We start from the raw sequence: 23,333 nt of genomic DNA on the forward strand, positions 1-23,333 counted from the left end.
AGTAGATGTTTTGTCCTGACTCGGAGAAGAAAAGAAGCAGTGGGGAAAGAACAGCAGACATTTGTGGAAAGAGTTGTGTTAAGGCTCTTGAGTGAGGGCTCTTGTTAGACCAAACTGTCAGGTAAAAAAAAAAACAGGAAGTGGAGAGATGGACACGTTTGAACCCTTGGTTTTCTTTCTTTGTTTAAAGAATGTGTCTACGTTATGAATAGATTTTATAGAATCATAAAGTATTGAAATGTTAAAGGTAGCAAAGATCAAAATGATTTTCTCCCAAGTGTGGCTTTAGATTTTGAGAAAGAAGCTTTTCCTTTTCCTTTTAATGAATGTTCATACATAAGCAAAGGATTTTGATCTTTTGAGTAGCCACTTTAGAGAATGTTCTTTGCAATGTACATACAGTTTTGGAAAGACTAGCAAAGCCACTCTGAGAAAGAGCATGTATTAGTACATTGGGGTAGAATAAGAAATCTAAACAATTTCTCTCAATTTATCAAGATAATTTTATCAATACTGGCCCATTATCAAAAATTATTTTTGAGGTTACTAAACAGTTTTCAATTGAACTAGAATTACTTGTGTACTTTAGTGATTATATATATATTTGTACTACCATTTTACTCAAAAGAGAGAATGCAATCAATTAAACCACATGTCTGGAAAAAAAAGGCCACATTTTAGCAATTATTTTACTATAAAGAAGTGTTGCATGTAGAGTCACTGTCAATTACTAGAAATAATTACATATTTTCTTGGGTAATTTCTTGGTAATTAAAGTATCACTGAAGCATAAGATGCTTTGCTAATGAAAAGATTAAAAAAACTCATATGAGTTTATCACTTTTTGTTGAAATGTGGTTCAATGTTTATTATCATAATTTCTGATTGTTATTGTATAACCTTGAATGGTATTAATGCACAAATCATGAATGTAAGCCAAGTAATAGCTCACTGAGTAAAAAATACATCACTCGAGGTGGTGCAATAGCAATCAAAATTATGACAATAAACATTAAACCATGTTTCAAAAAGAAAGAACAAAACAGTCTTAATATATTTTTTCCTCCTGATTTTGAAAGAATTCATGACACTAATTGCAAAAAAATTACCAAAGAGAAAAAACAAACAAATGTTGCACTATTTATTTCCAAACATTCCATACTTAATAGTATAAATGAACAAAACTGTAAACATAATTTTTAAAAATAAGGAGATTTCCAAAATGGGACTTGGAGCCATTTTTCACATCTGGCATACTATAGAAAAGGCAACACACTATTTTCTATTTTGAACCTAATAATATTAACTCACCCTCAGCTAGGTGAGGGTTTTCAGTTTTTACTTTAGAAGGAGGAGATGCATTTAAATTAACTCACTCTTTGATTTCCCATTCTTCTTGAGACTAGTAAAGATATGAAAAGAGAGTGAATGTGCCCTTCTTGTTTCCAGATTTATGGATGTTTTGTGGGAGGAAGTACAGAAACTCAGTAAATTTTATAGGAATGCAGGCAAGTTCATCTCAAGCAATATTCACCTTGGGATGCCCAGTGAAAGAAAACCTTAGAAGAAAGGTATAAGATAAGTACATTTCGAAGATGAAAAAATTAGGAGTTGGTGTAATGGTGTCATAGAGCTGGTTATTCCAGCTTGCAAGAGTCAGTTTTGTGCATCTCTTTTCAACTCTATTTTTAGTGACCTCCCTCTTGTTGGAAGCTTGAAATTGGTCATGGTCGGGATAGTTACACAATGGAAATTGAAAAATGTAACCAAAAAGGGCTCTTTTTTTTTTTTTTTTTTGGAGAGCCAGTTTTTCAGCACACTACTAGTGGAAAGAGAATTGGATCATGGATTTTAAAGTCATGTCAATCAAAATAGGGATCAATGTAGAGGTCAGATAGATAATGTCAAGTAGAGGCAGGCATTTGCATTTATTTACCTTGTTGAAAATGACCCCTAGTTTGATGGATAACCTGAATCAATTGGGAGAATCTGGTCCAGTGCTTTTGATTTGACTCTTTACCATTCACATGAAGCTCTCAATAAAGATATGACTTCAGTTCCCCCTTCCTCCCACACACTCTTATTAGTCATTAATCTTTCTTCAAAAATCCAACAGAAAAGAAGATTCTCAAAAGGTACGTTTGCAAGACATCTTATATGACACTCCTTTAATTTTCCAAGGAGTCATCACCACTTAGTGAAAGTTCATGCACACCGTGCGATAGAAGGCATCCCATGGTCTGGACCCCCAGGCTGTCTGCATTGCCACTCCCAATTCTGCACCACACTAGTGCCTTGCTCTTATCAGATTCCTCCTCCTTCCCTCTCAGTCTGTTATACATGTTGGGCGCAAACAGATCTAAGTGCCTTTGCCAAGATTGTTCTCCCACTTCTTTACCACCTGTCTAACCTTCAAGACTAAACCAAAGTCACACTCCTCAGAGAAACCTTTCCCCACAGTAGCTCATTTTGTCTGCAATACTCATTGACTTATGTATCAAACTACCAAGCACTGAGAGCTTTACTTAGTGGTGATTCAGTAAATATTTTTGTACAACTTGGAGTGGCAGTTCCCAGTAAGCTCCACATCCTACAGCCAAGGGTTCCCATTAACCTTGGAAAAAGTTTGGGAATTTACTGTTTTCATGAATAAAGGGATTGTCACCCACAAAATGGGTTGGTTCAGTTGCCTGGTGGGTATCAACCCAATGATCACAACCAAGGAGGATTTAGCAAGGAGATTTTATTACTTGTAACAAGTAAGAGAATACCAGGGACAGCTCCCAAAGTAGTGTCTACCCAAGCTAGGGGCTGGGTCAGGTTTTATAAGCATAGGGTAATGAGGTATGGTCTGACTAGATCTTGCAATGAACTGATGAAGTGATGCAGGGAGGCAGGATCTGATTGGATCCTGCCACGGGGGTGATGCCAGAGCTCCATCTGATTGGACAATAGATCTTACCTTATGGTGTCCACTTAAGTCAGTCCCCACTCCTTGGTCCCAGCACTTAGGTTCCCCCAGTGGTTGCATGCTTGGTTCATCTGGACATCTTCGGCTTACATGACCTGAAGGCCCATGGCAAAAGAAAAACACTGTTATATAAAAGTTGAACCAGATTGGTCTGGTGTGTCTGCAGGATGAGGGGAAAGTGAAGAAGAGAGGGCATCTATTCAGGATCAGATTGTAGTCGAATTCTCAGAACTCTTTAATTCAGGATTAATATTTGTGGCTAGATAAGTTTACTTTGTAGCATTATGCTACAGAGAGACTAAGCTAAGATCATTAACAAATTCTGACTTATAGCCAAGAATTGAGTCTTGGGAACCCAGATTTACATTTTAGTCTAATTGCTGAGGGATGAATGTCTAACTGGACCCACTGGGAGAAAGGGTTAAAAGCATTTTTGTATATTTGCAATCCTAGTTCTTCTTTTCCAAGTCTTCCTGTTTGTCATCTTCAAATAACTACATTATAATTTATTAATAAATATTTACATTTTAAAGTGGAAATATTTAAATATGACTTTCATTGGGATTTCATCTTCATAATATTTGCTTTATTGTTACTTTTTTTTCTTGGGTAGTTACCTGATTTTTATTTGTTGTTATTGTTAATCCACCTTTTAAAATCCAATGATCTAATTCTAGACAGAGTGTTTTAGAGAGATTTACTTAGGGTTTTGAAGTTGCTAGACCCACATCTGAACATCTAATCACTTCCCTCTCATCTCCTTGTACTGTTGAACTTTCCTGATTTGTGTCCCTGGGTAAGTCTTGTTTTCATTTTTCTGGAGAACAGCATTGTCTTAAACATTTCTGTCTCCTCACTTTGCTCAAATGTATTTCTTTTGGCAGGAATCCTAACCTGCCTGGATTTGCTTTGGTGTGGGTGTTACCTCAGCTTTCCTTCAGCCAAAATTTTGTATGGCTTTGCCAGTTTGGAGAGCCAAGCTCTCTCTTCTGACTGGAGATTATAAAATGGCAAAGATAAGTGCTCAAGGCACTTTTCCTGAGATGATGATTTAAATTTATCATGCTCTCCTGGGGTCCTTGAGAAATAGGCCACTCTGTGATCATTTTTGAGCACTTGCCAGCATGCCTGAAATATGAGGAGAGGGAGAAGATGTGTCTGCTTTTCTAATTAGTTTTTTCCTCTAGTAAGTCATATCCCCTTCCTTTTAAGAGACGGAAAACATTAGAGTTCTTAAGAGATGTCTATTTTCCACTGGGGTTTACATCATCGTTTTATCTAATTATTTCCCAATTACAAATAATAATTAAACCAAATGGTGATGCAAACTGGAGCAGTAACAATGTATCTTTTTAGAGGAGCTCCCCAAAGGAGACATAGAACACCAGGGTTGAAAATTCTTTGTTCAGTCTCAACAGTGAGTCTTCAAGGATGCATAAGTCACAAGTCTTGATTTTCAAACCATGTCTGATGTTCCTTGGCCCAGACCTAAGAGGGAAGACCGAAGAGTCCAGTATTCAACTGTTTTTGACACCTCAATATTGTTTTAGTAGTTGAAATAAACAGTTCTGCAGAAGTTAATAACTGTTGATTGAATTATTTTAATGGGAAATATCTAGGATGATACTTAACCAAGAGTCAGAAGACCCAAATCTGGAGTGATAATATGCCTGAGTTTGCCAGGAAAGTCCTGGCAAGACTCTTGTCTTGGCATTATTAAGGATGTTGTCTGGCACTCCCCTTTTCACTGTCAGGGTGTTCTAGTTTAAACTCTTTACAACTTGCCAGGTGGACAAATGGAATGAGATTAGACTTAAATACTCTTATTGATTCTTACAAGTGTTAATGGATATCTATCTGCAAGATTCTAAGTCTTGAAACAAGTTACTCAAATGGTATTTCTCAACCTCAGACATCTTATTTAAGACCCAATAAGAAACTAACAAATTGAAATATGCACTTCTCATGATCATGCTTAATATAAAAACTAAATTTGTAAAGCTTCTACAAGAAAATATAAGAGAATATCTTTTTGCCTATCTTGATATAGGGAAATAATTTTAGATGAGACTTCATAAAAATTAAAAACATTCTGCTCTTCAAAGACATTATTAAGAAAGTGAAAAGCCACAGACAGGGAAAATTATACCTCAATACAATACTGCAAAAATAAGTTACACTGCTTCTCAGTTTAGCAAGCACATTGTCACACAGTAATGTTTTCCAAATATTTCTAAGCATTGCAATGCTTTCTTTATACTAAAATTTACATGGAATTCTAAGATATGAAATAGATATAAGTGGAGCTCCTGGAGCTGAAGTGAGAAGGGGGTCCTGAAGCTGCATAATGCCTGCCGTCCTCTGTCCAGTCCTCCACCCCTGGCACTGTATTCCATTCTTTTAACAACTCTGTGCTAGAGGCACTAAAGATTTTTAAGATATTAACTATACAGATGAAGAAACAGGCTCCATGAAATTGTGACTGACCTAAATTACATGGCTAAGAGACGATAAGACACAGACCTGGAAATCATAGCTTGTGCTCAGCAATCTGTATACTATATTTACTGAACAAAGCAAGTGTTCTAGGCTGAGTGTGGTGACTCACGCCTGTAATCCCAGCACTTTGGGCAGCTGAGTTGGGCAGATTACTTGAGCTCAGGAGTTTGAGACCCGCCTGGCCAACATGGCAAAACCCCATCTCTACTAAAAATACAAAAATTAGCCAAGCATGGTGGTGCACGCCTGTAATCCCAGCTACTTGGGAGGCTGAGGCATGAGAATCACATGAACCTGGGAGGTGGAGGTTGCAGTGAGCCAAGATCGTGCCCCTGTGATCCAGCCTGGTGACAGAGCAAGACTCCATCTCAGCAAAGAAAAAAAAAAAAGTAAGTTTTTCAAACATTGTGAGGGCTATAAAGTAGTATAAAAAATGCTCCCAGTTTCCAAAGAGTTTATGGCTTACTTGGTGACTTGCTCAAAGCTCACATGGCTGGAGGTATCATGGAGTTATCATGTTTGGTCAATGAGAAGTACTTTTAGGTAAGGGGCTACCATTCATAAGAGCACAGGTGACCCTTTCCAGTCATTCCAGTAACGTCAACAACCAGGCTGGGGCTGTCTTTTGCTCTCTTGGGTGGTTGCTTTTTCGTGGATTCTTTCTTACTTGGCATGAGATAGACTTGGTCAAGGTCATCCCAAATTTCTTTCTACTGTCTAGTTTTGGTGGATCATCTATGCAAAGCTTCGAGTTCTCATTTTGATGTGATCACCTATGATTGCTGAAAACACCTTTATTTCCCCCATTTAGATTAGAGCCACATGAAAAACACTGACTGGATGTTTTCAGATCAATTGACGCTGAGGTTTCTTTTCTCACAAAGTCCTACTCGTATATCTCTGCATTTCCCATCCCACAGCAGCTGCCTCTATTCATTTATTTATTTTAAAGTTCAATTTGTGATGCAGTTAGAAGAGACTGTCAGCAAGAGAGAGTCAAGAGGAAAGTTTATTTTTTTTCCCCAGCAGGGAAAAGCCAGAGGAGAAGGGGGATCACGGGTAGGGGGCTTATTGGATTTATTTGGTTAATTTTTTTCTAAAAGTCCTTCCCTCTGAGAGGACAAAGTTCTTTTCTCTTTAAGTGCAAAGCCCAAAGTGGGAAAATTTTAAATTTGATTTTAATTTTTTTTTGATGTGGAACAAACCAAAAAAACCAATGATGCCAAAATTTCTTTAATTGAAATGAAAGAGAGGTTGGAGTTCTCCTCAAGGGGACTGATTGTTCAGATTCTTATTTCTTTCTTATTTATTTATCACTAGAGATGCACTGTTTTAGAAAGATAAAACACTGAGTTAGGAGCTCAACAAACACGTGAAATTGAGCCATAGAAAGGATAAAAAATTGAAACCGATGATGGCCCCACAGACAGAGAGAAGACAGCTCGTGGAGCTGTGAAAAATCCCCTACCTCAACTATTGCCCTTACTGGCTCTCTCCTGGGCTTTCAGTTCCCTGCATTAGAAATATTTCATGACTTGAGTAAGAGCTATACAAAAACAAAAAGAAATGATAAAACCAAAAACCAAAAAATAAAAAATAGCAAATAAATTCCATGGTCAAAAAGCTTGGGAAAAAAATGGAATAAACTAAGACAGTAAAGTCTTTACTGCAGAATTTCCCAGGACTGGTAATATTGTCATGTACATTACGCATCTTTAAAAGGAAGAGCTGCAGTATGTAGCCACGTAAAGATGGCCAAACTTAGCTGAAAGGGAGATTTTACCCATTTGGCCCCCTCCCTCCACCAACATTTTATGGGGCTGATCTTCACTGAAACCAGATTGAGGAAATGCATTAAAGCACTGAAAAATGCTGGTTAAAATGCAAACCAGAACAGGGAGATGATAATACTTGAAGTCATTGTTAAGCAATCTAACTCCTCAGTTCCAATTAGTTTATCAAATTAACTGCAAGTGTCTTACAAAACTCTTGTGAGAAGGAGCTTGGAGATAAAATATGACAGGGGCCAGAGAGTATCAAGGGTGCTAATTGAGAGGCCGGGAAGACATGGTGGAGCAGAAAAAGACAGAAGGCTGGGCGCAGTGGCTCACGCCTGTAGTCCCAGCACTTTGGGAGGCCGAGGTGGGCGGATTGCCTGAGGTCAGGAGTTTGAGACCAGCCTGGCCAACGTAGTGAAACCCCGTCTCTACTAAAAATGCAAATAACAGCTGGGTGTGGTGGTGGGCACCTGTAATCCCAGCTACTCGGGAGGCTGAAGTAGGAGAATTGCTTGAACCCAGGAGATGGAGGTTGCAGTGAGCCGAGATTGTGCCACTGCACTCCAGCCTGGGCGACAGAGTGAGAATCTGCCTCAAAAAAAAAAAAAAGATAGAACGTTCCTGAATATTAAATATTTATCCTACCAACCTCAATTCATATGGGTAATATTGGCCTAGAACCAAATAAGAGAAAAGAGATGTTCAATCAGGGTTTACTTAAGCAACAAGAATCATACAAATCAGATTCTAATCTTTCTGTATTCATTTAAAGCATAAAGTCAAATAAATGATTGCCAGCAGCAAGTGGAGTTGTTTAAAATTCCCTCAGCATGCAAAAGTGTTTCTTGGTATATGGAGAACTGATATTCAAACTTGGAGTTTAGCTGGTTTATGGTGATACCACTAGTGTGGCACCAAACCTGTTTCCTTTCATTTCTTTGCACACATTTCAGTGACATTTCCAGTGTCTCATCCAGCTAGATGAAGCCAGGTGATTGAGTTCTGACTAGTGCAATGTGGGCAGAGGTGACAAACTTCACCTCTAATCCTGACATATACAGAAAGTCTTGCACATTCTTGCATTTTTTCAACTCTCCCATCTGCCAGTTATATTCTATCAGGGCAATAAGAAGAGTCACATGATTAAAGCAGTCTGGGTTCCTGAGTCACTGTATGGCGTACAGTCACACAAGCATACACACTGGACTTTGTGTGGGTTAGAAATAAATTTTTATTTTAAGCCACTGAGATTTCGCCTTTTTTGGGGGGAGAGGTTGTGAGTATAGTTCATGTTAATTTCCTTGACTGAGGCAAATTCAAACACTAAGAACATGTATAGCTGCAGAAACTAAATCTAGAGTAAGGCATTGCTAGTAACTAATTCTTTTCATGTTGACTGCAACAGGATGGGCCTTGCCTTACTCCTGACTTGTCCCATGGGAACTATTTTAAAATCAGATTATGTAAGATTAACGCTAAAGCGTTCCAGCTTTCTAATATCTCCCACTGGTATTCTACTCTTCTCTTCCATCTGCTGCATTAAAAAGTGACCACCTTAAACTCAAACGTTCAAATTCCACTGTGGTGTGTTTTTGGTCATATACAGCACATGGAGCTGTGGGAGGCAGTTTCCCTAGTGATGAAGTGTAGAACCACCCCCTCAGAGAATGAAGCCTGGGCAGAACCCAGCCAGAATTCTGTTAACCTCCTGGCCTTCCCATATTTACACACATTGGCCCTTAGCCCAACCCTGCACAGCTGGCTAGAACAGTCCTGGATACTTTAGGAGCTTCTCCCAAGAGAATTCCATGAAAGTAGGAGCTGGTAGGAAAACAAAGATGAAATTAATGTAAACCTTCCTTAGGAATTAAAAATGAATTTTCAGGAATAGGAAACTTTGCCAGGCACAATATTTTTCAGCCTTCTGACAGAATAAAGAGGTTAGGGATTATTGGTGTGCATGTTTACATCTGCTGAAAGTCTCATTTGATAAGAATATATGTATTGATTTGATTTTATATGTGAATGACTCCTTTTGGGGAGTAAATGCTGTACTTGCTACTCAGAGGAACTCATAAATCTACATGTCTTCCTTTTTTTATAGCTAACAACAAATTTCAATTGACAACTCAGCTATTTTGAAGCTGCGTAAGATGTGGCCCTAGTAACAGGGTTGGATCCAGGCATTGTGAACCTAGAAATGTATACAATTTTGAGGGTCTTCTTTAAAAAAGTATATTCAAAATTGGGAATTAAAGTTAATATTTGTTTAGAGTAAGAAAAGAAATTACAGCAGGCTACAAAATATAAAAGTTACTGCTGTAAACAGCACAAAAGTCAGAAACATTATAGCTCTATTAATATACTAGGATATCTCTATAATACTTTTTCCTATATTTTTGGTTGATCTTCATTGAAACCAAATTGAGAAAATGCTGCATTAAAGCATTGAAAAATGCTGGTTAAAATGCAAACCACAACAGGGAGATGATACTATTCGAAATCATTATTAACCAGCCTAACTCCTCAGTTCAAATTAGTTTACCAAATTAACTGCAAGTGTCTTACAAAACATCTGTGGGAAGGAGTTTGGGCATAAAATATGTCAGGGGCCAGAGAGTATCAAGCGTGCTAAACGGGAGACCTGGAAGACATGGCAGATTGATAAAATGACCTTAATGACTCTTTGGCCATCTTATTATATGACAGTATTTTGTAATATTTTCTGTACAGAAAATAGTTCAGTCTCACTGTTGACATGTTTAGAAGCTTCTTTGATCTCACAGCTCATTATTGGTAATTTCATGTAAATCATTAAAATTATTGTTAAATTTGGGAAAACTTCTATCATGTTCATTTCATACATGAGATATTAACATCAACAAACCTTCCCACAGACTATCTTCTTGCTCCCTACTTTTAAACTTGGTTTCTCACCAATACCTGTGAGACACATTCTTCTGGTGCAATGTCACACCTTACCGTGGCATCTGGCCCTGCTCCTGCACATCATGATATTGGGTGAGTTGGTACAGTGGGTAGTAGAAATTCCTGGAAAGACATTTTTGCATTGGGATGGCTGGCAGAAACTTAATTATACACAAAAGTAATGGCAACCCAAATAACTATATTAACCCCAACTAAATGTGTCTTCCAAGTCAGCATTCCTTTAATAGCCTATCACAAATGCCTGTTTGCAGTATTGCCTTTAGACTGCAGCCATCAGGGCCCCCACCCCAAACACTGAGCCTCAGGGGATCGTGCACTGTGGAGTGACTTCCTCAAAACTGTTGAGGTTTCTCTATGGTTCCTGAGATTGGCTGGGGCTACCATTGCCACCTGGGTGGTGCACATCCAGCCCTGGATCTGGACCTGCATGTGCCCTGGTCCTCATTTCAGCCTGGTATGTTCTCTGACCCTCTACTGCATGTTTCAGGTTGGCCATATACCTCAAAGATCTGTAGGACTCAGGGTTTGAGAGGCCTGATGGGTACACTGTACCCACTGACCAGTATGGCATTTTTTTTGTTTTCATGATAACCTGTGTTGTTGGACTGATTTTGGGTGACACAGGATGAGTTCAGGGCTCTGAACTACCGACCATCTACTGTTAACCCTGGGGCCTAAGCTCTGGGTGTGGGCCTATGCACGGGCTCTCGCCAGTCCTTGCTCCAACCGCGGGGCTGCCTCTGATCTACAGCCCCTGAGGGCAATTAGTGATGGTAGCAGTTGTCTACTTTGTAGGACTCTTGCCATGGGCATCCAGAGCTGTCACTCTAACTCCTCTGCAGGTTCCACACCAACGGTCAGGCATCCTCCAGAGTGGCTGTGCTTCTGTCCTCCAAGGGTTTCTCAAGACTATTGCTCTGTAATGTCAGCGGGCCCTTCCGATTAGTGCAGTTTTTTGCCGCCTGGGGAGGTGGTATGGTGAGATATGGTGATGTCATATTCTCCCAGGTCACTCTTAAGCCATGCTTAATGCTTAATGGGCATTCTTTGTAGGAATGAGATCACTCGTCCCCCTCCTCCCGTGATCCTTCTTTCTCTCCTCCCCAGTGTGTGGAAGCGGGTGGTACAGTCAAAACGGTAAACGATCACATTCTAGAAACACAATGATTTGGCCTAAATAACTTAAGAGGAGAAATAGATGGTAGGTATGTTGTTCTGTACTTAGGCTATAAAGTAACAAATGGTAAATTTAACCTGACCAGCATATAAATCATTGTTCACATTTTCCTGTATACTTTGGGTAAGACTGGAATTTATGTTCATAATCAAATAAATACAGTAACAACTTCGAGGGTCACTGGAAGCCAGTATCCCTAGGTGGCACAATGGGTGATGTGGCTTATGAGTAATCATGTAAATAGCATTAAATAAATAGCATTAGGAGACTGCAGAGGCTAGAGGATCAATATTGTTTCAGTACAAACAGGTTTCAAAAAGCCATGGCAGGATGCAATGGCTCACACCTGTAATCTCAGTACTTTGGGAGGCTGAGGCGGGAGGATTGGTTGAGACCCAGAGTTTGAAACTAACCTGGGCAACACAGTGAGACCTTGTGCCTACACACACACACACACACACACACACACACACACACACACACACAAATTAGCCAAGCATGATGGCCCCCACCTGTGGTCCTAGCTATAGGGGAGGCTGAGAGAGCCTAGGAGTTCAAAGCTACAGTTAACTATGATTGTGGCACTGCACTCTAGCCTGGGCAACAGAGTGAGATGCTGTCTCAAAACAAACAATGTGCACACATACACAGGCATGTGTGCACACACACACACCCACAAACCCACACCCCCATACCCACACACCCACACCCCCATACCCACACACACACTGAGCCATGCATTGTGAGTAATGAGTATGCTACTTTTTTCTCATGATGGGCGTTATGAAGCTTGCCAGAAACCACACATTTGATTGTATAGAACAAAAAGAAATGGCTTCTGGCCCAGAATGGGCAAAGATGGTCCCTGGATACTACAAAGGATATTCATGTGTCTTGATAGGACAACAGACGTATACATAAATTTCTCATCTACTCATTATTCTAAGTCTTTGTTGACACATCCCTGTACCTCCTACAGGACCATTAATTTTGTAATATTCCATAAAGTTGTTTATATAGACAGGGGTTTCACAAAAATATTTTTGGGGGCTCTGCACACCCTATGGAAAGCTCTGGCTGTGGCCCCTGTAGTGCCACCTGATGAAAGAAAAATGTGGGCTGGGCACGGAAGCTTATGCCTATAATCCTAGCACTTTGGAAGGCTGAGGAAGGTGGATCACTTGAGGTCCGGAGTTCGAGATCAGCCTGGTCAATATGGTGAAACCCCATCTCTACAAAAAACACAAAAATTACCTGGGCATGGTGGCATGTGCCTGTAATCCCAGTTACTTGGGAGGCTGAGGCAGGAGAATCACTTGAACCATGGGAGACAGAGTTTGCAGTGAGCCGAGATCTCACCACTGCACTCCATCCAGCCTGGGGGACAAGAGCAAAACTCCATCTCCAAAAAAAAAAAGAAAAGAAAAGAAAAGAAAAAAAAGATAAAAGTGAAAGAGGAGAAGTCTGATGAAAAAAGGCACATGTCAGTCTAAACTGATTGAGGTAAAAATCTTTTTGTCAAATTTACAAAAACATATGGCCATTGAATACCTTGCAAACTCCTCTCCCACAGCCCATGCAAAGAAAGGGCCCTGAAACTTGAGGCCTTGAAGCTTCACTGTAAACTATCTCTGCCAGTTAACTTGAATCTCCAAAATGGTGGTGTTCATGCAGACTACTAGTGAGGCTTCATCCAGACAACGGGTTCAGGGTTTATTTAAAAATAAAATCATTGTTAAAACCTTTGATTTTTTTATACAATCCTCTCTGCTGCATCCTACTGTAAACCCTGCAGAGTGACTTTTTTTCCCCACACAATTGACCTTAATAGCAAATACAGCAGAATTTGATTAATTCATCTTATATGTCCATAATTAATGTAAAAGGGCCAACAGTCTCTCAACTCTCTTCTCAGAAAAGATCTAATAATGGAGTTCAAGTGCAGTTTAATATGACCTAATTTTAAGAAATATAATAGCTGGAGAATTACTTTGAAAAGCGAGGAGTGCTATGCAAATGTAAAGTATCCTCATTATTATTGCTATTATTAGTGGAGTATCTATAAGTGTATTTGCTGCATTGAAAAATAAAAAGCAAAATAGTCTCTTGACATCTTTCTCTCTGGGCTCCTTGAGGGATCATATCTGTCTTATTAACTGTAGTATACTGGGCACCGAGCCAGGTGTTCCTGGTATTTAGTGGTACTTAAGAAGTATAAGTTGAATTAATGGATTAATAATCTCTGATCATATGTTTAGGTTATTTTACTTTTACAAATTTTATGCTGTGATGAATAATTCTTTCAATACTAAATTTTACTGAAATGTAAGTGTTTTCTAAGGATGAATTTCAAGAAGTTTAAAATTTCTAGAAGTCTAATGTTTAGGCTATATGCTTTATGCATTTTTAAGGCTTTTGATACATATTGCCAAACTACCTTCTAGAAATGTTCGTTTGTTCAACAAGTATTTATTAAATACTTATTGGTGTCCAGGCATTGTTCCAAGCACTGGGGAAAAACAGTGATGAATAAGACATACCATCCTCCTGGAGCTTATGTTTTACTCAGAAAGAAAGAAGATGAAAGATAACCAAATAGCAACAAAAAAAAGATGTAATTTGAGTAGCAATCAGTGCTATGAAGAAAAATAAAAGAAGCAAGAGAGTTGAGTAGATTTGTATTACTGTTTTTAAATATTCGCTTAACTCTTCCATTTATGAGTGACTATGGAAACGGGGAAGGAGGGAGGAAAATACTTGAGAAAGGCAAGTACTCAGACAATGGGGGATCAGTGAACACTGGCTCTGAAATTATGCTTATTCCTGAGGACCCAAAGAAATTCTACGGTCCACTAGTCAACTAGGGCCTTATGGTGTCCAAGCAATCAATGAAATTTTGCCCAAGTCTGTCTCACCATTGGCCAAGTGAGTCAATGGACTCTCCTGTGGTTATTTTTCCAGTTGCTAGAGATGTAATTAGAACAGAAATACTCAGACACATGATATAGTCACCTGTAGAGTGAAGTCCCTTATAGTAGGAAGGGAGATTGAGGAGATTAGCTGTACCATCAATGATTTATTATATACTCCATCACCCAGAAGCAGCTGGCCTGAGAGAGTCACAGAATGACCAAATAAAGGTTGAATTAATTTTTCAGTGAGGAGAAAACACTGGGTTCTATCTTAAATAATAAAATTAGTGGTCAGTATATGGTGCTGTTTCTCCCACAGCCAGTATGCCTGGGCCCCAGAATCAAGAATAGAAGCAAAAATTGTTCTTCTCACTATGAATTTTGATAGCCTACCTACAGAATTTCTAATTCTTATCCCCAGAATGTTCAGATCAGCAGTTTTTTCTGACTTTGTTTCCAAGGAAGGAATGCTTCTATGTGGGGATACAACATTAGTTCAATTGCATTGCCAGTTGAGACTATCTCCTAGCCATCTTGGTAAAGAGTGGAATCCCTGCTAATTAGGAAAATTAATCCTGATTACCAAAGAAAATTGAGTTGCTACCATATGGTCGAGGCAGGGAGCAAAATGGCTGGAGCTTAAGGGATTCTCTGGGGCATCTCTTAGTGTTCCCATGTCCTCTTGGTAAAAGTCAAAGGAAAACTATAGCAACCAGCACAAAGGTGGGACTACTAAGAATCAGGCCTTTCAGGAATCAGGGTTTGAGTCACCCCACCAAGAACCCCAACTACCTGAGGTGCTGACTGAGGACAAGGAATATGGAATGGGTAAAAAAAAAAAAAGACAAAAATAATAATTACTAAATATAGTCTTGTGGCCCACTGTAGAAATAACAACTATAGCAAGTCTTTCACATTCCTCCGTAATACCACCACCTGAGCAGTGCCCACTCTTTTCTGAGTCTCATCTCTTTGGAGCCTCTCCTCCAAGCTTTTAATTTCTGTGAAAACCAACTTCTTCCCTTTGTTCCCTAGTATTGGGTGGTGTTTGCAGCTATTATTCTTATTAGCTTTGTGTTCTCTTTCTATCATTTTAGGTTTCAACCATGATTTTAACATAACACTTCGTCATATTTATTTCTCTCTGTTAAGAAACTTAATGTGGTTTCTGTTTTCCAGGTAGGATCCTGATTGTTACACGAACTGTCCACCTCCATCCAGAGCCGTGTGGCTTGTAGTGCCTTCTCGTGGCAGGTATATTTTCCTGCCTGTTCACGTGACTTGTGTTGGCCAGTGGAATGTGAGTAGAGTGTGATACATGCCAAATTTAGGTAAGGCAGATATGGGAGGCTGAAGCAGGAGAATGGCGTGAACCCGGGAGGCAGAGCTTGCAGTGAGCCAAGATCGCGCCACTGCACTCCAGCGTGGGCGACAGAGCGAGACTCCGTCTCAAAAAACAAACAAACAAACAAACAAACAAACACAACTAAGCTTTTTAATATTTTGAGAGAGATGTAAGTCCATATGCAGCTGTAAGAAATAACGCAGAGAGATCCCATGGACTCCATCCAGTTTCCCCCAGTGGTAACATCGTGCAAGACTATGGTATAGTATCACAATCAGGACATTGACATTGAATACAATACAATTTTCTTAGTTTTGGGCAGAAACTCTATAGTGATCACATGGTTCAGCTTAGACTCTTGCTCTACCCCTCTGTCATTTGAAGAAGCCTGTGAGTCACAGCCACAGCCAATCTGCAGCAACCAGAATTCCAGATATCATGCTAGGCAACTCTTAGTTTTTCTGAGAACTGAGAATTGGACATTGTGTATTACCTTAACATAACTGGTTGAGAGAGAGAGAGAGAGAGAGAGAGAGGAAGGAGGAGATTATTCTGAAATCACTCTAGATAGATTGAGCAGTCAGCAACAGCCTCATGGATTAAGTGATGAGACATTTGAGCAGGGACCTGACTGGCGTGAAGATATGAGTTAGGAGAACGGCATGAGACGATCATTCAGGTTGAGGTAGCAGCAGGTGCAGAACACTTGGGTGAAACGAGCTTGGTCCATGTGTTGGAGAAAGAGTAGGGAGCTAAGGTAAGGTGAGGCAAATGCAGTGAATGAGGAGGGGGATGGTCAGAGATGCAGAGGCCTGATACTGTATAGGCCATAATCACAGGAATGGATTTTATTCTCAATGCAGTTTGGGTAATGATTTCCCGGGTGGCATATTCAATACCATGGATAGTTCTAACTATCAAGGACTTCTTCTTTAAATAAAGCTGGGATCTGCTACCCTGTCACATCTTTGTTCTTGCTCTATTTTTACCTTTTGTCTCCTACAGAGATTTAGTCCCTTCTCACGGGACCAGCCTTCATACATTTGAAGAAGGCAGTGATGTTTTCTCAAGTCTCTCTACTTCAGGCAAAACAGTCCTTTTTAGTTAAATTAAGCTTGATTGTCAAGTATTTCACATAGTTTTTTTTAATTTCAAGCTTTAATTCTAGTAATTGGTAATTCATACATTCATATCAGTGGTTCCTAATTTGAGAATATCTAGAATCTTCAAGGTACTGCATGTACATAGGTACCATATTGTTATTTGTGTATGTCTGCCTAATTTGCTACATTATTTTGAAGATGTGGCTCCAGGGATGAGTATTTGCAAATGGGTATTTGACTGAGCCCACATGATTTTATTATATAACGAAGGGATAGAAGGGAGTAAATTCTTATAAGCCAAAGAAGGCAGATCCTTAAAGCAGTGATAGCTACCCAAATTTTAATTTGCATGAGAAACACTTGGAGATCGTGTTAAAATTCAGATTCTAAATAAGTAGATATGGGATAGGAGGACCCCTAGATTTCAGCAGATGTTCCTGGTCCATGGGCTACTGTCTCGAGTAGCAAAGTTCTAAAGAACTCAATTCAATAGAACTCAATTCATCCAAGTGTCAAGGCAGAGGCATTCTCGTTAACCTATAAAACTCTTAATTTCAGTGGATCCCCTTGATCATTTCAGGGTGTTCTCAGATGCCTGCAGAACCATGTAGAATACCTTAGAAAAATTCCCTTCCAGCCATCTCTAGCTTAATACATAGAGACTTTACAGAAAATGATTGACTCCCAAACTGCTCTTGTTCAATATCCTGTATAATTGCATGAATGTCTCCATGGGAGAGTGATGTGATTGATGGTAAGAGGACAGTAGACACACTTATGAAAGATAATGTTTTTTTAATGGCAAAGCATATGAAGATTGCTCCAGAAAGGAGACAATAAGCCATGCTCCCAGGAGAAGACTTCTCAGGTCCCTGAATCTCTATAGGAATATATAACAGCTGCTGCTACCACCTGCATGGAGTTAGAGTTCTTGCTTGGTAAAAAGTGCCTGTTTGCCATTATTGGGGTACAGTCATATTCTCCTGTTCGTTGATGATAATATGGGGACTCACCAGCCTGTCTGCCAGTTCGCAGTGCAAAAGCAACCTTGGTGCCATCTTGAGTGTTCACCGTCAGACCAGCTGAATTAAAGATTGGTTTCCCAGGTGTAGCATTTCTGAGGAGACCCACATGCCAGGTCCGCTGAAGGTCCATTGCTGTACTCAGGGGCACAACCATGAGTAGCTCATACATTATGATGGAAAACATCTGCTCCTAAGATAGTGAAAAAGTAAAGTCAGTGCCTTACATTTCCCTTTTATTTCATCATGTTTTTCCTCCTAAGTCACCAATATGATAAATGATGCAAGTTTAATTGTGCTGTATCAGAAAAATTGGGGTATATGGAAATATTTCCACAGGAACACTTTTATCCTGAGAAACATTAGTAAAAGTTCAGTGAATTTATAAGATCATAGAATGCCATAACAAAAGGTAAACCTAGAGATGTTCTATTTCATAAAATGTTTGATGAAGTCATCATGTCTTATTATTTTGAAGACAGAATATATTGATCTCTCTGTAGGTTTCACATTAGCCATTTTTAAACCAAAATACTACAGTGGACAATAATATGGTGGGCAATTTCTAAACCAAAACATTATAGTGACTCTCCGAAACTTATTCCATCCCAGATGAGTCATAAGACTCAATCAGTTTATGTCGCTTTCCTGGTGGCTATTTTGGTCTGGGGCGGAGTATGTGCCCTAGGTTGCTGCAATTAGATTGGGATGGAGACTTATATTTCAATGAATGTTCAGAGCTAAGTTTTTTTTTCTTTTCTCTCTCCTCTTCTCCCAGATGCAGAAAAGGGCAACCTGTATCCAAAAGGTGAAATCAATAAATGCATGAAAAAAATGCATATGGTAAGACAGATAGATGGACAGAACTTGGGTCCGTTTTTTTTTTGTTTGTTTGTTTGTTTGTTTTTGAGATGGAGTCTCGCTTTGTCTCCCAGTCTGGAGTGCAGTGGCATGATCTTAGCTCGCTGCAACCTATGCCTCCTGAGTTCAGGTGGTTCTCCTGCCTCAGCCTCCCGAGTAGCTGGGACTACAAGCATGTGCCACCACTCCTGGCTAATTTTTGTATTTTTAGTAGAGACAGGGTTTCATCATGTTGGCCAGGCTGGTCTGGAATTTCTGACCTCAAGTGATTTGCCCATCTTGCCCTCTCAAAGTGCTGGGATTACAGGCATGAGCCACCATGCCTGGCCACTTGGGTCCTGTTGAGGTGAAAATATTGATTACTGGATGTACCACCCTTGGAACTTCTTCTACCTCCGCACTGATGATGCATTTCTTAATTGTTTAAGCCAATCAGAGTAAAGTTTTCAGAAAGCAGAGTCATTAGAAGAGGCACTCTGGAACCAGACTGCCTGGGTCCAAATCCTGTTCTGCTGCTTACTAGATGTGTGGTCTTTGGCAAGTTACTTAATATTCCTGAGCCTCAGTTTTCTTATTTATAAATCAAAAATGAAAACAGTGCCTAACCTTCTAGGGTTACTCAGGTTAAATGAATTAACACATATAAACTGCTTGGAATGGTGCCTGGCTAATAAGTAGACTAACAAAGTGTTGGTTATTATTGTTACTACTTTACTAATATTGCTGATAATAATCTGAATGTTCTCATCCATTTGCTCATTCATTCACCAAATGTGTATCAAGTGACCACAGTGTATGTGGTTGTTTGCTTGAGCTGAGATTTAAACACATTTTTGCTTACTATTTAAACTTTCTTCTTACCTTTCTCCCATCCTTCCTTCTTCCCTCCCTGCCTCTGTTTCTTCCTCTTCCCTTCTTCTTTCTCACTTTCTTTTTGCATTAGGCTTATGAGGTAGAAATCATGTGTTTTGGGGCAATACATATATGAAAATATTGTGGAAACTTTATGATTGAGTTATGCTGTTTATAAATTTTTGAAAATCATAGTTTTTTTCTGGGCCAAATGAAAGGTTTTATCTAGTATGAATCAGTAAAAACTCAGTAATATTATTCACTCCCAAACTGGTCATGCGAAAATGCACTCTTTACCATCTACAACACTTTGGATGAAGTTATTCAGTGGAGGCCCAAGAATGAAAAAGCAGACTGTCTGACCCTAAAGAATATTAAAAGGAATAGTGCAGGGAATTTTGGTTAACAAAATACCAGTTTTGCTGATATAATGTGTTATAAATAAAAGTACACTCACTGCCTTCTTTTCCTGGTCCATTGGTAGGCATTCTTACTCCAAAATGTACTTCCCAGTAGAGCATCCCACAAAACATGGCAATTATATTGATCTGTGGCATCATCAAATGTTTGCTTGTTGGTAGCCTGGTGATTGGCCGCCTTAGAAGAAGCAGGGAAACTCTATCAAGTGGAGCTCCTACGGAGGCATTAACACAAAACTCATTTTGCTAGGGAATTAAAACGTTTAACATATGTGGTGCTAGGTAGCTTACCTTCAATCCCTGTCATGAGATGTGCCGAATTTCCCTGGATTTAGAGAAAATACTATGAGTTTTGTAAAGAAACTTCCTCTGGAGTCCCAAAGGAAATGTGGAAAAGGCTTTTTGGACTGAGATCTTTTGATTCTAGGTGTGTTTCTTTTTTAAGGCTGTAGTAAAGCCATCTGAGTCCAGTGTACATGGTTAGCATGCCCTCTGCCTATGTGCATTAGTTGTCTGAACTGAATTTTCTCATGCCATAAGCAGTAACAGAATGTTATTTTTAGGATGGGAAAATATTGAGTTAGAATCTGGAAATCATAATCTCCTAAACCCTGAATCTAGCTTCAGCATTTTCCATTATTCTAAGATGCCTGCTCACAAGTACTAAAATATATGAGTTGAAGGCGGGTGCAGCAGTTTTTGCATTTCTCTTTTATTTTTTGTGGTACTGAAGCAATGGGAACACTATATAGAGAACTAAATGAGGTACCATATGTCACAGTGGCTAGTCCTGTACAATTGGGACTCAAGGAGAACCAAGAAGTCCTCACCTTTTAGTGTCCATTTATCAAGAACTCTTTTTTTTTATCTTGGAATGTAAAAAATTTCAGATGTAATTTTCTCATTTTATAATAGAAATGCCGGAGGAATCCTTTCTATGGAAATTTCTTTTTCTTTTTTCCATGGGGGATAGAAGGTTTTCCATTTTCCATCTTCCCTAAAAATGGTGGAAGTTGACCCTGGAAAAACACGTAACTCCTGTGGTCTATCCTTGCCCCCCCATCTACTATTTTTGGAAGTATAGAAAAGGTTTAATTTTAATCATAATTTTCATTGATAGTATTTCTTTGCCTATAAATAACTTGTTGAAGAGTTTTAAAAATGACTTGAAGGACTCAGGGAACAGGGCTACAATTGATTAAGCAATTCAGCTAGTTGATAAGTGCCCAAGTTTAGTATCTTCTATTCACATTCTGGAGACAAATACCATATAATATTTTAAGTGACTATTTAGTGCTTGCCATTTCTCCTTCACTGTGGTTGGCTTCTAATGTATGATCTTTCATTCATGCTTCAAAATGATGAGTTTTATTATTATAATTAATAGTTACTATTAATAATATTTGCTGTTATTATAAACTACTGTTAACTGTGATCACTACTATTATTAACATTTTACAGGTGAGGAAACAAATCTTGTGAGATGACATGACTTGCTCAGGTATCATAGATAATAAATGCTGGAACCATAATTTCTGAATTATACAATATTTTTAAACAGTATGACACCCAGTACATGAATAATTGGTAAACTCTCTACCCAATGCAAAACATGAAGGAAGTAAACATATAGCACCTTTCCATTATTTAGATTTTTGTTCATTTTACTTGAGGCTTATTTCCTTTTTAATTCTTTTTTCAATTTTTATGGGTACATAGTAGCGTATATATTTATGGAGTACATGAAATATTTTGATACTAGCATGCAATGAGTAATAATCACATCAAGGTAAATGAGACATTCATCACTTCAAGCATTTAACCTTTCTTTGTGTTATAAACAATCCAATTATAACCTCTTAGTTATTTTGAAATATACAATAAATTATTTTTGACTATAATTACAGTGTTGTACTACCAAATACTAGATCTTATTTATTCTAATTATATTTTTGTACCCATTAGCCATACCCACATCTCCCTCAACCCTCATTCACCTTCCCAGGCTCTGGTAACCATCAGTCTACTCTCTATCTCCATGAGTTCAATTATTTTAATTTTTAGTTCCCATAAGTAAGTGAGAACATGTGAAGTTTGTCTTTCTGTGCTTGGCTTATTTCACTTTACATAATGACTTCCGGTTCCATCCATGTTGTTGCAAATGACCGGATCTCATTCTTTTTTTATGGCTGACTAGTACTCAATTGTGTATATGTGCCTCATTTTAAAAATCCATTTGTCTGGTGATGGACATTTAGGTTGTTTCTAAATCTTAGCTATTGTAAATAGTGCTGCAATAAAAGTGGGAGTGAGGATATCTCTTCGATATACTGATTTCCTTCCTTTGGGTAGATACCTAGCAGTGGGATAGCTGGATCATATGGTAGTTCTATTTTTAGTTTTTTGAGGAATGCCCAAACTGTTCTTCACAGTGGTTGTACTAATTTACATTCCAACCAACAGTGTATGAAGGTTTGCTTTTCTCCACATCCTCACCAGCATTCACTATTGCCTGTCTTGTGAATAAAAGCCACTTTAACTGGGGTGAGATGACACCTCACTCTCATTTTAATTTACATTTCTCTGATGATCAGTGATGCAGAGCATCTTCTCATATACCTGTTTTCCATTTGTATGTCTTCTTTTGAGAAATGCCTATTCAGATCTTTTGCCCATTTTTAAATCAGATTATTAGATTTTTTTCCTATAGAGTTGTTTGAGCTCCTTAAGTATTCTGGTTATTAATCTCTTGTGAGATGGATAGTTAGTAAAACTTTATTCCATTCTGTGGATTTTTTCTTCACTTTGTTGATTGTTTCCTTTATTGTTCAGAAGGTTTTTAACTTATTGTGATCCAATTTGTCCATTCTGCCTATAGATATCCAGTTTTCCCAGCACCATTTATTGAAAAGACTGTCCTTTCCCCAGTGTGTTTTTGGCACCTTTGTCAAAAATGAGTTTACTATAATGCATGGATTTATTTCTGGGTTCTCTATTCTGTTTCATTGGTCTATGTATCTGTTTTTATGCCTGTACCATGCTGTTTTGGTTACTATAGCTCTGTAGTATAATTTGAAGTCAGGTAATGTCATTCCTCTAGTTTTGTTCATTTTTCTGAAGATAGTTTTGGCTATTCTGGGTTGTTTGTGGTTCCATATAAATTTTAGGATAGTTTTTTTCTATTTCTGTGAAGAATATCATTGGTATTTTGATAAGGATTGCATTGAATTTATATATTCTTTTTCTAGTATGGACATTTTAACAATGTTTATTCTTTCTATCCATGAACACCAAATATCTTTCCATTTTTTGTGTGTGTCTTCTTCAACTTCTTCCATCAGTGCTTTATAGTTTTCATCATAGAGATCCTTCACTTTTTTGGTTAAATTTATTCCTAGATATTATATTTTATTTGTAGCAATTTTAAATGCGATTACTTTTTAAA

At 38.5% G+C, this 23,333-nt stretch overlaps 1 long non-coding RNA gene across 1 annotated transcript in view; it reads left to right on the forward strand.

Annotated features, from left to right (window-relative positions):
• Positions 1-23,333, forward strand: part of LOC105373893 (uncharacterized) — a 428,255-nt gene that overhangs the window by 238,924 nt on the left and 165,998 nt on the right. The window contains exon 3 of the long non-coding RNA XR_001739889.2: positions 15,466-15,586. This is a non-coding gene — a long non-coding RNA (uncharacterized LOC105373893). The remainder of the gene's footprint in view (positions 1-15,465; positions 15,587-23,333) is intronic.

This window comes from Homo sapiens, chromosome 2 (assembly GCF_000001405.40).
Source record: "Homo sapiens chromosome 2, GRCh38.p14 Primary Assembly".
NCBI classification, from domain to species: Eukaryota; Metazoa; Chordata; class Mammalia; order Primates; family Hominidae; genus Homo; species Homo sapiens.